At 40.0% G+C, this 16376-nt stretch overlaps 1 protein-coding gene and 2 pseudogenes across 8 annotated transcripts in view, besides 6 other annotated features; 2 read left to right on the forward strand and 1 right to left on the reverse strand.

Moving 5' to 3' along the window:
• RPL37AP5 (ribosomal protein L37a pseudogene 5) lies at positions 341-729 on the reverse strand (annotated as a pseudogene).
• On the forward strand, positions 1307-1494 carry MZT1P2 (mitotic spindle organizing protein 1 pseudogene 2; annotated as a pseudogene).
• Positions 3888-4047: an enhancer, noted in NCBI's record as "active region_26753". NCBI's record gives its function as "activates an Ori minimal core promoter by ATAC-STARR-seq in GM12878 lymphoblastoid cells {active_cell/tissue: GM12878}" and the evidence as "EXISTENCE:reporter gene assay evidence [ECO:0000049][PMID:35858748]".
• UBN2 (ubinuclein 2) overlaps positions 4107-16376 on the forward strand; it is a 99192-nt gene continuing 86922 nt past the window's right edge. For 4 of the 8 annotated variants that reach the window (XM_011516003.3, NM_173569.4, XM_011516002.4 and 1 more), the window contains exons 1-2: positions 4107-4822; positions 9875-9967. In XM_011516003.3, coding sequence (XP_011514305.1) covers positions 4355-4822; positions 9875-9967 — 561 coding nt within the window. In that variant the 5' untranslated portion in view covers positions 4107-4354. Of the gene's footprint in view, positions 4823-5290; positions 5328-9874; positions 9968-16376 lie in introns of those variants that run through there. The other 4 variants (XM_005250249.5, XM_047420101.1, XM_024446704.2 and 1 more) reach the window with 3 other exon arrangements.
• Positions 4128-4267: an enhancer, noted in NCBI's record as "active region_26754". NCBI's record gives its function as "activates an Ori minimal core promoter by ATAC-STARR-seq in GM12878 lymphoblastoid cells {active_cell/tissue: GM12878}" and the evidence as "EXISTENCE:reporter gene assay evidence [ECO:0000049][PMID:35858748]".
• Positions 4438-4687: a silencer, noted in NCBI's record as "silent region_18693". NCBI's record gives its function as "represses an Ori minimal core promoter by ATAC-STARR-seq in GM12878 lymphoblastoid cells {active_cell/tissue: GM12878}" and the evidence as "EXISTENCE:reporter gene assay evidence [ECO:0000049][PMID:35858748]".
• Positions 4898-5117: a silencer, noted in NCBI's record as "silent region_18694". NCBI's record gives its function as "represses an Ori minimal core promoter by ATAC-STARR-seq in GM12878 lymphoblastoid cells {active_cell/tissue: GM12878}" and the evidence as "EXISTENCE:reporter gene assay evidence [ECO:0000049][PMID:35858748]".
• Positions 4898-5323: a biological region, named in NCBI's record as "ReSE screen-validated silencer GRCh37_chr7:138916940-138917199".
• Positions 5064-5323: a silencer, noted in NCBI's record as "fragment chr7:138916940-138917199 (GRCh37/hg19 assembly coordinates)". NCBI's record gives its function as "represses an EF-1alpha promoter that drives an FKBP-Casp9 reporter gene in an ReSE screen in HepG2 liver carcinoma cells and phorbol 12-myristate 13-acetate-treated (for megakaryocytic differentiation) K562 erythroleukemia cells {active_cell/tissue: HepG2 | K562(+PMA)}" and the evidence as "EXISTENCE:reporter gene assay evidence [ECO:0000049][PMID:32094911]".

The raw sequence follows: 16376 nt of genomic DNA on the forward strand, positions 1-16376 counted from the left end.
ATGGTGAAACCCCACCTCTAAAAATACAAAAATATAAAATTTCTAAAAATACAAAAATTAGCTGGGCATGGTGGCATGCGCCTGTAATCCCAGCTACTCAGGAGGCGGAGGAAAGAGAATTGCTTGAACTTAGGAGGCGGAGGTTGCAGTGAGCCAAGATCGCGCCACTCACTCCAGACTGGGCAACAGAGCAAGACTCCATCTCGGGAAAAAAATAAAAGGACATCTGAAAATTTAACATGATGAACTTGTCAATAAGCCCCTCAAATATGTTCCTAAAAAAGTGGGGGGAGTAGAGTTATTGGCACAATTTCTCAGTTTTTCCACAAACCTTTTTAATTTTTTTGGTTACATAAATTAACCCATTTATTATAGGCTAGTGATGTCTCAAAGAGTAGAGGAGCGTCTACTGGTCTTTCAATTGCTTCAGTCTTCTGATGGTGGACTTTACCGTGACAGCTGAAGTGGTATTGTAGGTCCAGACAATGTGGTTCCTGGATGAAGACACCGTTACTGTCTTCATGCAGAACCACAGCACCAGATCCCCACAGCTCGTCTCTTCATCTTGGTTTTGCCACAGAAAAGAGCAAATGTACTTGGCGTACTGGCTGATTTCAATTTTCTTCACCATTTTCTGGAGGGAGACCCCATAGCGGGTCCTGTATTTACCAACGATTCCAACTTCTTGGTTTAGCCACGTTGCTGTGAACTACGTCCGAGCTCAGAGAGCTGTTCCGCAAATCTTAAGGAGAAAGACAATCAGTGTGCAAAAGAAATATGGGTCATAGTAAGGGCTGAAAAACTTCATCCAGTATTTATGGGTATGGTGCACATGCTTTCAGTGACAAATCAGCTGATAAATGAAAAACTATACTTCTTGGCAAAAACACAGTATCAGTGTATTACCTACCACAGAATATTTACAGCAACAATAACTATGATGTAGTAACAGTCCAACTTGCTGAGAGTACTAATACTGAAAGTTGCATAATATTTTCATGCCAGATATGTGTAGCAAGATAATTTTATAGAGGAATTATTGACTGTATAGAGAAAAATATATTCAGAATTTTAAAATAGTTCCCTTGGCCTCCATCACGGCAAGTAGTAGCGGCATTGGGGCAGCAGCAGTGATCAAAATGCGGTGAGGGAGATTGTGGACATTCTGCTTGTAGTCTCAGCTACTTGGGAGGCTGAGGCAGGAGAACGGTGTGAACCCGGAAGGCGGAGCTTGCAGTGAGCCGAGATCGCGCCACTGCACTCCAGCCTGGGCGACAGAGCAAGACTCCATCTCAAAAACAAAAAGAGATTTCAAGAATTCTGAATACTGGTTTACTGGAAACTCTGGTTATTTGTGTACAGCTTTGTGAGCAAGGACTTAACCCAGAATTAATAAATAACCAAGGAAATATCACTGGTTATTAAGGAGCTTCGAAAGACTACCAAAGCACAAAAGGCTGCTGAAAACATGACAATCTAACTTTCTGGAGAAATCCTGATATGTTGAGCTCTTCAAGAGGATTTGAAGACTGCGTCGTAATCAAGAACGTACGGTGAAATTACTGCATGCAGCAGTGTAGAAAAATAGTCCTTTTTAAAAGAATTACAGAACCATAGCTTTATAAATCAGTGGGAAAGTGGCTTACAGAGGGAACTATCAGGTGTGTTTACACTGCATCTTATTCACTTTTTAAAACGGCACTAATGTATTGGCATTGCTATGTTTATATTTAGGCATTCCTTATTTATAGCTCTAATAGCTTTAATTTTCTGAGCAGTCTGTCAGATGTTTATATCTGCTGTGCCTGGGTGAAGTGTGGTGGAACCCATTAGTAATAAGGTGTGGTGGTTATAGGACTTGTTGACGTTCCCTTTATAAACTAATTTTGAATTGTTTATGCACAATAACTATGGATTTATGTTGTACTCTCACAGGATTTCAGCCACCATTTGTGAATTTTGATTTAGGTTCATTATATCAGAATCTTGTTTTTTAAATTAAGAACATGGAAAACATTTCTTGTAATCTACCCTTTAACAAAGAATATATAGTTTTCAAACAGTTTGTTGGGCAGTTAATAGGGTGAACCAGATCATTTTTATTGATTTAAATAATTAACTTGATTAAACTTGGTATTTTATGAAGAGAATAAATTATTACAGCTTAGTACTTCATTTACACAGAGAAATGATTGTCGGGTATGCAATTTATCATGATGTCAGACTAAGATTAAAGAAGAATTTATTACTATGCAGAACATGCATACGCATTATTACTATTCATGACTGCCTATATATCTGAACTAGGGTTTTCAATTTTGATCAGTTTAGAAGAAGAAAAAGATCAGGCACCACAGTGGATCAGATGTTCATGTACCACTGTCCTAATGAATTCTGGAGTGCAATAAACCTATGATCAGGCAAGAACTTCCATGGCATTAAATAAAATCTTTCCTAATTTGCTTCTATATGATGTTAACATTTTTTTCTACACTGTATTATAAAATATTTTATATTAAATTAACTCTGTTGCGTCTGTTGCTTTTACTTTATCCTAAGCAGTAGGTAAGTATTGTGAAACTTATATTTCACATATGCACATATGTGTTATGTATATATGGGTGTATATTCTAGGTTACAGTGTAAAATGTCTTACTGTGGGTTATGGATCAAAAAGTTGGAAAACTCAGTGGGTGAGAAGTTAGAAGATAATGTTGGATAAGTAACACACCTGTAGAAGGATTTGGCCCACAGACCACCAGTTTGCAGTCTCTGAGCTAAATTGTGGAGGATATTGAATATGAGTATACATACATAGAACTCAGTTTGTAGGTAAGTTGCAGCCAGAACAGAGAACGATATAATAAAAACTCTTTTAGAGACATTAATATGACCCCGTCTCAAGACTGGTGGGAACAGAGACTGAAGGCAGAAAGGTCATTTAAGTATCACTAAGGCAATCTAAAAATGAGACCCGAATTCAGAATCAGAAAAGGAGCAATAGGGAAGGAGATAATGTAGGTAAAACATGGCGCCGAGTAGAAAAGATAGGGTTTTAGAGCTGGGAGAGACCTTTGGAATCATAGATTTCATCACCATCTTCGTCCAAGTAGGGAAAGTAATAACAGGAGAGGAAAAAACGGAACCCTCTCAGAATTTGTCAATGACGTCACACTGACTTAATAAAAGAGCTTTCAATAGTTAATGCAATTAACAGAAGGCTTGGATTCCCTTCAGGATGTGAAGGGCGAGCCCTCAAATTTACTTTTTATTCAATGGATTAAAATGGCCAGTAATTCTTATCCTTTTAAACCCGACTTCCAATTAATTAATTACAAGTGAGCCTATGGGGCGTGCCCAATCAATTCCTTCCCCATCCTGAAATGGGTCCTTTAGCATTCTCATAAACAGTACGTTTCCTGAAATACCACTAAACCCTCTTAAGAAGTTTTCTATGATTTCAGCAGTTTAGGCCTTCTGAATGAGCCCAGAACTCCTCATCTGCTTGTTAATTTTCCAACTGCAAAGCGTTATTGAACATTTAATGACCCTGCCCCACGCAACGCCCACTGCGGCCGGGCGAGGGAAACCGGAGTAGGTCGAGGAAGGGGAGGCCTGCGCTTTCGGGAGGGAAGCCGCTGGGGCTAGTCTGGCTGAAGCTGGGCACTTCCTTTTTTCCCTCGATACTTAAGGCTACGGGGACACAGGGCGGGCAGGCACAACGGCTGGCGCGTCTCTCTACCCTTGCCCAGAGTCCGCCTTGAATAATCAGCTAACAACCCCAATTCCCTTGAACCCAGCACGGGAGACCCGGCGCCAATGGCTAGGTCGGTCTCAGTCCCATCCCGATGCTAGCCCCGGGAAGCTCCTGGAGCGCCTCTGGTTTCCGGGTGCGAATAGTAAACTGCTCGGGAAACCCCAGAACCCTCCCTTTGAGGAAGGGTGCAGACGGCGTCTCCGTTTCCACGGAAACAGGCCGAGCCATGTCGTCACTTCCGCCGACCTGTCTGGACTCCAGACTGTTGGGAGGAAAAGAGGAAAACTGAGCAACAGCCACGACAGTGGACGCGAGCGTCTCCTCTGTGCGCATGCGCCCGCTCAGCGGCCTGCTTCTATTTATGTGGGGGATCCAACATGGCGGCCGCGGCGACCCTGGCGATGGCGGTGAAGCCCATCAGAACGTAGTAGCGGGGAAGGGGACACGGTCCGCACTCACCGTGGCGCCGGCGGAGACGGCTGAGGGTGGTGGAGGGAAGAAAAGCGACAGAGAGCAAGAGGAAGGGCGGGCAGGCACGCAGCGCGCCGTAGAAGCGAGCGCCGGCTCGAGCAAAAGCGGAGGGCCAGAACAGTGGGGATGGCGGAGCCGCGCAGAGTAGCGTTCATTAGCTTGTCACCGGTGCGGCGGCGCGAGGCCGAGTACCCGGGGCCCGAGCGTGAGCCCGAGTACCCCCGCGAGCCCCCCCGGCTGGAGCCGCAGCCGTACCGCGAGCCGGCCCGGGCGGAGCCGCCGGCCCCGCGGGAGCCTGCCCCCCGCTCGGACGCGCAGCCCCCGTCGCGGGAGAAGCCGCTCCCCCAGCGCGAGGTCAGCCGCGCCGAGCCGCCCATGTCGCTGCAGCGGGAGCCCCCGCGGCCCGAGCCGCCGCCGCCGTTCCCGCCGCTGCCCTTGCAGCCGCCCCCGCCGCGGGAGTCGGCTTCCCGGGCTGAGCAGCCGCCGCGGCCGCCGAGGGAGACGGTGCGCCTGGAGCTGGTGCTTAAGGACCCCACCGACGAGAGCTGCGTGGAGTTCAGTTACCCGGAGCTGCTGCTGTGCGGAGAACAACGGGTACAGAAGATTCTTCCCTCCTGCCCCAGACCCCGGGAGCCTCAGGACCCGCCGCCTTCCCCAGCTGGTTTGCACCTTGGGACGCCCACCGAGCGCGTCCGGGTCGCCCCGAGGGTGGGGTGCGGGGGGCCGGGGCCGAGCGGGTGGACGGGGCGGTGAGCGCTGCTTTCTCCACTCCCCAGGGTGGCCGAGGCTCTCACCCGGCTGCGCCGAATCCCCAAACCCCCGGCACTCGCTCCCAACGCCGCGCCGAGCTCGTTTTCTTGTGCACCTTTCGGAACCTCAGATTTTCCTTCTTTCCTTTCTGCTCCCCACACAAAATCCTGGGGCCCTGCAGGCCGTGTGGCTGGGTTCTCCCTGTGGCGCTACAGCTGTCGTTCCAGTAGAAAGGAAGAGAAAACCTTGGGGGACACGCCCCCCAGTCTGAAGCAGAGATTGTGTAACCCCTCTCGTATCATCCTCATCCTCATCACTGTTTGTTTTGCTGGGCGCCGTGGCTGCTGAGGTGTGCTTGCGTGCCTGTGATATTTTTCTTAATCGAAGGGAATTTAAGAATAATTAAAGGTTTTCAGAGACTAAGGATCCCACTTTAGGAATGGAGAAGTGGGTTAGTTAATCTGGTTACTAATTTTTCTCTCGTGTTGGTATTGGAAAACCTTTTTAGCTTTCCTTTTTTGTGGAGTTCGTTCATATTGTAATTGAATGGGAAGGTGTCTCCTGTTTTATTTGACACCTACCCGTCATATTATTTAAGTGTACTATCATTAGTTTATAGAAGGATATTGTATTCAGCCTTTGTAATTTTCGGAGGATGATGAAAAAAATGTCAGCTTTGAATTTTTTAAAATAATTGAAAATATATAGGTATGCTTTTGATGTAAGAGGTGAACAATGGAGAAAGGATAGGGGTTATGTTCGTAATTGTAATTTTTATTGTTGTGGGTTGGTGGATCTTCAGAAGTAAGTTAGAAAAGGAAATGATAGATTAACAGTAAGGAAAGAGAACAGTTTTCTCTGTTGCTTAGCAATTATACCCGTTATTAGGTTTTGCTTTAGCTTGAGTCTAATGGACTCCAGAAGTCCCTTGTTTTGTTTTCATCTTCAACTACCTTTATGGTCAAAATGACTGACTGCTTAGTCACAAAGTATCATGTTGAACAATTTCACTAGGTTTTGTTTACTTCATGGCCAGCTAATGTTTTGATCATTATTTAGAAATGTTATGTGGTCAAATCATTACAAAATGTTTTCAACCAAAATGAATTGTTTAAAGGTAGAGATCATTTTGGTCACTTCCACCTAACATTTTGCTCGTCAGACTCACTTGAATGCCCCTTCTTTATAAATCTGAGGTCACTTTTTTCCCAAAAGAATATTAAAAATATTGGATTGGAGCATTTTTCAAACATTGTATTTGAGCTGCTAATCTAAGTTGGTTTGCAGTTTTTGTAATTTTCATAAATTACAGGAGAAAAGCATTATCTTTGGATAAAAATACATAGCAATAACGACATTTACTGGTTCTTACTGTGTGCTAGACACAGTTCTAAGCACTGCACATGGTTTTTCTAGTAGTCCAACAGAACTCCACGAGGTAAAAACTATTATCCTCACTTTACAAATGTATGTAATTTTATTAGTACTTCTTTCCATAGTGATACAATTTGTTAGTAAAACAAAATTTCTTAAAATTAACTCATATAGTTTAGAGGATTCTGCCAAAATGACGTAAAATGTAAGTCGCAGTAGAAATACAAAGACCTTTATTATGTCTCTGTTTATGCTGTAATATTCACACGATGGCAAATTAATAATGTGTATCATTTAATTATAAAAAGAAAAAGGTTTGACACCCTAGCTTTGTTAACTTGATAACACCAGAACTACTACTTTCATGCAATAGGAGAAAGAGGAAAAATTCCATTTAATTTTTCTGTATACTTATTAACAGTATAGGTGTCTATTGGCCCAATTATCTCGTATATCAACCTTCTATTTTTTTCATATACCTCTGAACAAAACAAAATCCATTGTATATAATCACCTTTGCAACAAAGATTTGCCACATTTTCCTGTGATTGCTGCCAGTGTATATCCTTATTATGCAAGAAAGCATAGAAAACATATGTTTAAGTAAAATTGTCATGGTTTCATGAAAGGAAATCCTAGAAGAGAGACCATCAAAAAGCAAAATGCGAACATTAGAATTGGTCTGGAAAGTTGGTGGTTCCCAAAATTAGAAGAATTAGAAAAGGAAGGGCTCCACATTTTTGAAATAGCCATCTATCACTAAATAAGATTTTAGCTCCAGATGCTGAAATTGGTAGATGTGGGGCTATTAAAAAAAAACAAACAACAAAAGGTGTGTTACATATGGATACCATTCATGTGGGTGCATTTAAATCAGTTCCCTTCTTAAATACTAAATGAACAGTAAAACCCTGATTTACTGGAACATAATCAGAAATTTTTCTATGCTCTATTTGTATTAATGAGGAAAGCACAATTAAATAATTTATGTTGGGAAAATAGGAAAAACAAAACCACAGGTTAGCTAAACCTTTAACCTTATTGTCTCTAGGCAGTACAGTGCTGTGATTGAGATGGTTTAGGATGATGACTGGCATTGGAATCATCTCTATCCTGAAAGATTAATTTGGTCACCATTTCTGGCTAAAGGGTAATAGTGCATTTTAGAAATAAATTTTGGCAATGATTGATACACAAGAAAAGGTTTAACTCTTAGTAAACCAGAAAAATCAGTTAACCAGAACACCCATTTGTGAACATGCTTAATTGAACATTTACTGTAAAAAGAAAAATAAGTGATTAAGTGTGTTAATGTAACTATACTATTTGAGAATTCCATGGTATTTCATTGTTTGCGTATTTTTGATGAAATTTGTGAAAGACCTCCTGAAAATGGTGTTGATGAGTTAAGATCAAAGGACAAAATTATTGCATCAGTTTTGCATGTGGGTAGTTGATAATTTTCAGATTTTTTTTCACCTGAAAAAACAAAAAAGCTTAATCTTGATTGGGGGAGGGTGTTTATTCTTAACTGTGAAAGAAAAGTGAGTCCATTTTCTTAAATTTGTTTTTGTAGGCTGTCAAGAGAAAATAAGAGCTGTACTTTTGATACCTACATAAAATACATAAAATATTTTAGAATGGCATATAAGGTGATTCTTATTAAAAATATAGATCCATGTGTTTATATTTATACATATAAAATGAGTCATACCATAGTAAGTATTTGGGCTTCACAGTGCAAGAGGGAGCAGTTTGTAATAGGCATGGCGATTGCTTACTGTCCTTAACCTGAGCCTCTGGTTAAGGCTACACCCTGGACATGCCTAGGATTCCTTATTAGTTTATTCTCACTAGTTTATTCCCTTTTGGATCATGTTTATGTTTTTCATTGGTAAATTTTTATTTTTATTTTATTTATTTATTTTTTTGAGATGAAGTCTCACTCTGTCTCAACCAGGTTGGAGTGCAGTGGCGCAATCTCAGCATCTCAGCTCACTTGCAACTTCCACCTCCCAGGTTCAAGCGATTCTCCTGTCTCAGCCTCCCGAGTAGCTGGGACTACAGGCGTGTGCCACCACACCCAGCTAGTTTTTGTATTTTTGGTAGAGACGGGGTTTCACCATGTTGGCTAGCCTGGTCTTGAACTCTTGACCTCAGGTGATCCACCCACCTTGGCCTCCCAAAGTGCTGGGATTACAGGTGTGAGCCACTGCGCCTGGCCTTTCATTGGTAGCTTCTGTTGGGGTGAACTATTCTATAAATTTATTACTTATTACAATAATTTTAAAAATTGATTTTAAAGTTAACTCCTTTAAAGAAGTATCCCTTTATTCTAATGTCCCAAGTGTGAGGAATTGTCTCGTATTCATTCTGTCCACATTTTTCTATCATGTTTTTTAGACCGATCATGTCTCAGTCTTTATATCCAGGATGAAGTGTCTCAGTTTCAAAGTGTGCACATCTTCCTTCTGCATTTTTTCTTGCTCTTCAGGGTCCATTGAATCTGTATCAATATTTCAGTTGTAGTATACCTTCCTTTTTAAATTACCTGAGTCAGTTGTCTGAAATTGGATAAAAGTAGTATTTTTATCCTTGTTTTGGTTTTTTTGTGCATTGAAAACCATATATATGTTTGTATACTAAAATAGAAGACTTAAGGATGTGATCGCTATTTTTGTTTGTTTTGTTAAATAGATGGTTAATGTGAGCTTCTAGCTCTGTGTGTGTGTGTGTGTTAAACCATGTATTATAATAAACTTTCACTCTCCCCTACTAGAAGAAAGGCATGGTAATGTAATCTTTTTGCAGCTATTTCTCTTTTCTAGCTTTGTTTAAAAGTAATGTGTATTCCCTGAATGGATATCCATTGACAGAATATTGGTGATACAATGGTTGTTGATATTGGACCTCAACAGAAAGCCTTAGCCGCTACACACACTCAGTGTTAACTCACAGGCAGATGGTTGAAGTGTTGCTTTTAATTAATAATCTAGAGCTCCTTTTAGAAGCATTTCCTGATCAAAGCAGTTAATCTTTGTTAGTGAAGATATCAATCTAGAATTATAAGTGAGATTTTCATATTTAGCTAGTGTTCCTGGGGATTTTTTTTCTTTGTTATTTTGGATGAGGTGACCATGTGATCATTTTGCAGGTGAAGACAATTTGGATTGTTGAGTTCTTACTCATCAAAACACTGTGAAATGTATATGAGTCCATTATAACTGTAAATTTTTTTTGCTATGAACCAACTTTTTTTTTTTTAGTTTTAATACTTCTGACTTACTTGTTAGTATTAGGAAAAGTTGTCTCGTATTGGTTAAATTTAAGATATAGTCTCTGAGTAATAATATAATTAATTATATAACATGTTATATATTCTCACTAGTTTATTTCCTTTCAGATCACATTTATTGAAATAGAATTGAAGTGGTTGTTACATAATGATAAATAAACAAACAATAATAATATTTGTAATACTAATGGATACTTCTCTTTCTTTTCCCATTCACCTTGAATCAGAAGAAGCTCATTCACACAGAAGACCCATTTAATGATGAACATCAGGAGAGGCAAGAGGTGGAAATGTTGGCTAAGAAGTTTGAAATGAAATATGTGAGTATAATAAACTGATCACTTAGGTAATTTTATCCTATTGACCTGTTTGCTTTCTGTGGCTGGTTGGGAGGGCCTATAAATATCCGTTGCCTGCCTTACTTTGTTCTCACCAATGGAAACCAAATGAATGGTTAGACAGTCAAATAAAGATTCCAACAGGCTTGTGATAGTTAAAGTAGCCATCATTCATTTTTATTTTTATTTATTTATTTTGGAAACAGGGTCTCGCTCTGGTGCCCAGGTTGGAGTGCCGTGGTGCAGTGTTGGCTCACTGCAACCTCCGCCTCCCAGGTTCAAGCCTTTCTCATGCCTCAGCCTCCCAAGTAGCTGTGACTACAGGGGCAACACCACACCCAGCTAATTTTTTGTATTTTTGGTAGAGACGGGGTTTCACCATGTTGGCCAGGCTGGTCGTGAACTCCTGACCTCAAGTGATCCATCCTGCCAAGTAGCCATCATTTATTATAGTCTTTCTAGAGTCTGGGCGGTTTGCTTTACATATATTATCTCCAATCTTTGTAACAAAACCACAAGCTAAGTAATATTGACCATATTTTACAGATGAGGAAACTGAGGCTCTGAGTTCAAGATTAAGTAGCTGATACAGTGTCACACAGTGGCAAGAGTAGGCTACAGGTCCAGGTCTGTGTAGCTCTAACTCTGTTCCCTTTCCGCCACCATCGAGAATGCTATTTTAATTCCTTTGGTATAGTAGTTCTGAAACCTTCCTGCCTCCTAAGAGTTTGAGAGTGAATGTGTGTACTTCTAAGCTCATTGCGTCAGACTCAGAACCAGCATGAGACTTCTTTGAAAGTGTCCGGTTTATGCTAAATATTCATGTACATTTTATATTCAGTGCCACAATATAGTGGTGTTTGTTTGAATACAAAAACAATTTTTAATTACCTGATTAAGTTGCTTAACATTTTTCTCAAATTTTCTAGTATTACTAAATTTGTAGAAAGCCCCACTCCTCACCCCACATTTACACTATGGCTTTGAGTACTCTTGGCACTTTACTAAAACATAACCCAGTTGAGAAGCAACACCTTACCCCTCTGATTCCTCTGTGAGCATTGAAAAGTATCCCACAGGAGAAAGGATATCAGCTCACATTGGCCTTGTCATTGAGGGCCTTGTACCCTCAAGATACAACAGGGATCTTGACCCATATGTGCTGGCTCCTTGTGGTAATTAAGAAACCATTTGAAGGTAGAAGAAGTAGATGAGAATAGATTGGAATTGGAATCAGGTCCTAGGCCATACTTTGCCATCTGCTAATTGTGTCCTTTTGGTGAGGTTTTTTAGCTTTGGGCCACAGTTTTCTTTTTCTCTCTTTTTTTCTAAGACAGAGTCTCTGTCACTCAGGCTGGAGTGCAGTGGTGTGATCTTGGCTCACTGTAACCTCCACCTCCTGGGTTCAAGCAATTCTTCTGCCTCAGCCACCTGAGTAGCTGGGATTACAGGCATGCACCACCATGCCTGGCTAATTTTTGTATTTTTAGTAGAGATGGTTTCACCATGTTGGCCCGGCTGGTCTCGAACTCCTGACCTCAACTGATCTGTCCACCTTGGCCTCCCAAAGAGCTGGGATTACAGGCGTGAGCCATTGGGCCTGGCCAAGGGTACAGTTTTCCTATCTATAAATTGAGAGGTTCAGATTTTTCCGAGACCCTATTGTTCTCTATTCTGTGACTATATAATAATAAATTTAGGGATAGACTGGTGGGTGTTTAAATAGAAGGAATAGCATTGTAGTATTTAATTACAGTGTAATCTTTTGAGACTATATTGTATCATGATGTATAAATTGTAAAATCCTATAGGATGTATAAATCCTAAAATCCTAGCATGTATAAATCCTAAAATACTGTGTTTTTTATACAAGTTATACATTGGTTACACTTAATGTTTTAACCAACTAGTACACTTATGTGGCTCAAAATTCAAAAATTAAAAATCTTCCTTTTATTGTATTGCCCACCCATGGAATCCCACTTCCTAGGCAAGTAACACTCCTGTGGTACTAGAGATACATCTCTATACATACACATCTATTCCTTTCCCACCCCCTTTTTATACATATTATAGAATTGTACACACTTAAGCTCTTTGCTTTTTATTTACTGTATCTTAGTATATTTGGGGGGGTCATATCAGGACAAAGTGCTTTCTCTCCCTTTTTTTTAAGGCTGCATGCTGTTTCATTGCATGGAACTATCACACTGTAACCAGTCCCCAAATGATTTAGGTTGCTTTCAAAAATTTGCCCTTATTAATAGTGCTGCAGTAAATTAGTCTGTAAAATGGCATTTTACACAATTTCAAGTTTATCTCTAGGAGAGATTCCTAGAATCAGACGATTCAGGTCGGAAGATTTATGCATTTATAATTTTAGTATATATTACTAAATTACCAGTTCTACTCCCTCCATCACTATATTAGAGTGTCTTTTTTTTTTTTTTTTTTTTTTTGAGGCAGAGTTTCACTCTTGTTGCCCAGGCTGGAGTGCAATGGCGCTATCTCGGCTCACTGCAACCTCCACTTCCCAGGTTCCAGCAGTTCTCCTGCCTCAACCTCCCAAGTAGCTGGGACTGCAGGCATGCACCACCATGCCCAGCTAATTTTTTGTATTTAGTAGAGATAGGGTTTCACCATGTTGGTCAGGCTGGTCTCGAACTCCTGATCTTAGGTAATCCACCGCCTTGGCCTCCCAAAATGTTGGGATTACAGGCGTGAGCCACTGCGCCCAGCCTAGAGTGTCTATTTTGCTGTGGGTTACAAAATCAAGGATTTTAGAATTGCCCTTTGCAAATGGAAAAATTCCTATATATAATCCTATAAGTAAAGTGATTCAGTATATGACGCACTACCTTAAAGTTAGCATTAAGTCTTCTTAGTCAACCCTAGGATAGTATCTGGCATAGAAAGATCAGCGTTCTGAAGAAGTTGTTTGATGCGTGAAATTGAGTTTCAATTGACTTAGATATATTTAAGCCTTGTTATTTTGTTTACAGTGATAAAATATTACTCTTGTTATAGTCTAAATTAATGGGCTATATTTCTTCTCTGGATTTTTATTTTGCTGACTTACTGTCTTATTTCCATTCTAATTAGAGATTGTATGTATATTAACCAAAAAGCATGCCCAAGTGTTATATCTATGAGTATTGTGTGTGTGTGTATATGTATATATATATTTATTTGGTAGAGACAGGGTCTTGTTGTGTTGCCTAGGCTGGTCTTAAACTCATGAGCCTAAGCAATCCACCTGCCTCAGCCTCCCAAAGTGCTGAGTTTACAGATATGAGCCACTGTACCCAGCCTAAATATATATATATATATATATATATATTTTTTTTTTTAAATAATTATTTGGAATCTTTTAAGAAAATCATCAGGCCAAAAGTGACCTGAGAGAAGATACATTGTCCTGCTGGGCGTTATATGCCTAGAGCTCTAGGCTATCACAAAATCTCTCTCTTAAACTACAATGATCTTTATTGGTGTTTGGGGCAGGTGTTGCAGCAGTTGAAGATCAGTGATATCAGAAATTACAGGGAGTATAAAATTGTAAAAAGAGCACCCTGCATTGAATTTATGGGGTTCCCCCCTCCATTGTGTCCTATTTTTATGGCCATGTTCTGTTTCCTGTTATGTTGTTCTTATGCTCAGGTAATGTGACAGTTCATATTCAGCATCAATTACTAAATGGTTTTTTGGGAAAAGGTCAATATGACTATTAAGTACCTATTTTTACCTAGATTATACTAAATTGGTTGTTGTACATAAATCTTTTTAAATAGCTAAGTCCAAGTTTTGACATTTCTACAACCGTATAGGCTCCAGATTCGTCTTGATGGTTAGAAAGGAGGCAGGATACAGGTAAAAGAGGCTCCCATGCCTCTCTTTATTCCCAGTTAAGGCTCCAAAATGTTTAGGCAAAACATCTTGGTTTCCAATTCAGTTTTTAGATAGTCTGTAGGTAATATATGCCTTTTATGAGGCCACCTATACTCTATACTCAGGAGTAGGATGCTTCAATTTGATGGGTATAGACTTGTTATCTTAGCCTTCTAGGACATAGGATAACCTATAATTGTTGGAAGATTTCTCTTAGTGATTTTTTTCTCACTCCATTACCCCAGCCGTTCTGAAAGATCATACTGTCCTAGAATTGGATATAAATTCACTAATCTAAATGAAAGCACCTAACACAATACCTTGTGCCTAGCAGGGGCTCAGTTAAGACTCTTTGAATCTGAATGACTCTCTGAATAGGAAGACATATATTCTGCCAGGCATTTATTAATAATCATGAAATCACATTATAACTTTAAAATCTGCTTACTGTGCTATATAGACCTTGAATACTATCTTTCACACTTAGTTCTATGTGGTTTTGGGCTCTCAGAGCCCTAGTAGTTTCATACTTCTTTTAAAAAGAAGGGTAAGGGTAGATTTGATAGTAGAAAAGTAATTCTGAGCAGTCTTATAAATAAAACAGTTGACCAAATGGAATAACACTGTTTTCACTCAAAGACAAATTATTCTTCTAAATACTCTTGATTTTCTTGAGACCCTGTCTCTAATAAGAATAAGAATAATAAAATCAGCTAGGTGAAGCGGCCCGTGCCTGTAATCCCAGCACTTTGGGAGGCTGAGGTGGGCAGATCACCTGAGGTCAGGAGTGCAGCCAGCCTGGCCAACATGGTGAAACCTTTCTATCTCTACTAAAAATACAAAAATTAGCTGGGCATGGTGGTGGGTACCTATAATTCCAGATATTCGGGAGACTGAGGCAGGAGAATCCCTTGAACCCAGGAGGCAGAGATTGCAGTGAGCCGAAATCACGCCGTTGTACTCCAGCCTGGCGACAAGAGCGAGAATCCAGCTCCCCCCCCCAAAAAAAGTCTTGATTTTCTTTTGTATAACTTGTAAAAGTGAGTCTTTCCAGATAATGTTTTAAAGAATGGCAGTATCTTGGAATAACTAATTTCTGATGAGTAACATCTTCACAGTAAATACTACTCGGCTAAGTGGAAAGAAATATAATTTTGTCTTAAAATAATTATAGATTATTGTTTTAAACTGTCTTCAAATGTGAAACTGATACCAAGTAGTTAGTTTTGAAAGCATTTGTGTACTGTTTCTGGGAGTTGTAAGAATCATATCAATTACTCATATTATTTTAGTTGATCATCCACACTTGCTGAGGGGTTAGAGCTTCCTTGGGAACTTCATAGGCTGGTTAACCTGTTTGTTTTGGCCTTATGTGAGGTCTGGTCCCTAAGGATCATCTCGATGTAGAGCTTTGGGCAAACTTGTTGACACCACCACAAAGTAAATTCTACTTGCAAAACACAAATACCAGTGGATTTAGGGTTTTGTAGACCAATAATAGTATGATATTACATGTACAATAAAAACATAAAATAATCTTTTAAAGCAAACTGGGGGAGGGGAGAGGGCCTTAAAGGGCAAGGAGGAATTCCTAGCTCAAATAATAATTTCTTTATTGCAGTTACCCATTCTGATCACTTGCTGTGACATGCCCTTTTAATTCCTTGGCCTCTTTGAATTGAATAAATTCTCTTCAGCCTTCTTTAATGCCTTAGGAACAATTGAGAATCAGCAGTTTTAGGGTATTTAGGAGGAAGGACTGGTATCCATATGTGGTGATTATAGAAGTTGTGTATACTATTTTTGTGCTGTGTAGTCAGCTCTTGGCTGTATTTCCACTGCCTTGAAACTCAGCTCCTTTCTATTGGTAGGTTGAAGAAATGGGCACAGATGTAAAGAGATAAGGTGGCAGGGCTGGGACAAGTAGGGAGTCTTGTGACGACAGGATGTTTTCTTCTCACTTATAGGACTGGTGTGTTTTTTAGTAATCAGGGTCATTCTTGCTCTGTCTACTAGAGGTTATCAATGAATGTTGGTTTTTAGTTTGGTTTACTATTAGCTGGAGGCAATTTGGGGTCAGGGGGTCTAGTACTAAGAACATCTTGTTTGTTTGTTTTCCAGTTGAGTGTTACACTGTAATGAGGCTGCATTGGCCTAAAACACTGATTGTCAGGTTAAGCAAGTACTAATGACTCAGTAAGGAATATTCTTCTGAGTCACAGGGAGCTAGTACCTAGAACAGTAGATAAGAAGAAAGTTCTTCACTTTAGATATAGCAAAATTCAAGGGTTTTTTTTTGTTCTTGTTGTTTGGAAAATAAGTTTTGATTTTTATAAGATCTACTTAATTTATAAACTGTGTAATATCAACTGCAGAGGTTCAGAGAATTTATCAAGTAAGACTTTGATTCTGTTGCAGTAAGGGTACTGAAAAAGAGAGTAATTCAACAGAAGTCTTTCTAGTAGGGAAGATAGTATAATCCTTTGCCAATGTAACTTGAGTT

The sequence above is a fragment of the Homo sapiens genome, chromosome 7 (genome assembly GCF_000001405.40).
Source record: "Homo sapiens chromosome 7, GRCh38.p14 Primary Assembly".
In the NCBI taxonomy this organism is placed as follows: Eukaryota; Metazoa; Chordata; class Mammalia; order Primates; family Hominidae; genus Homo; species Homo sapiens.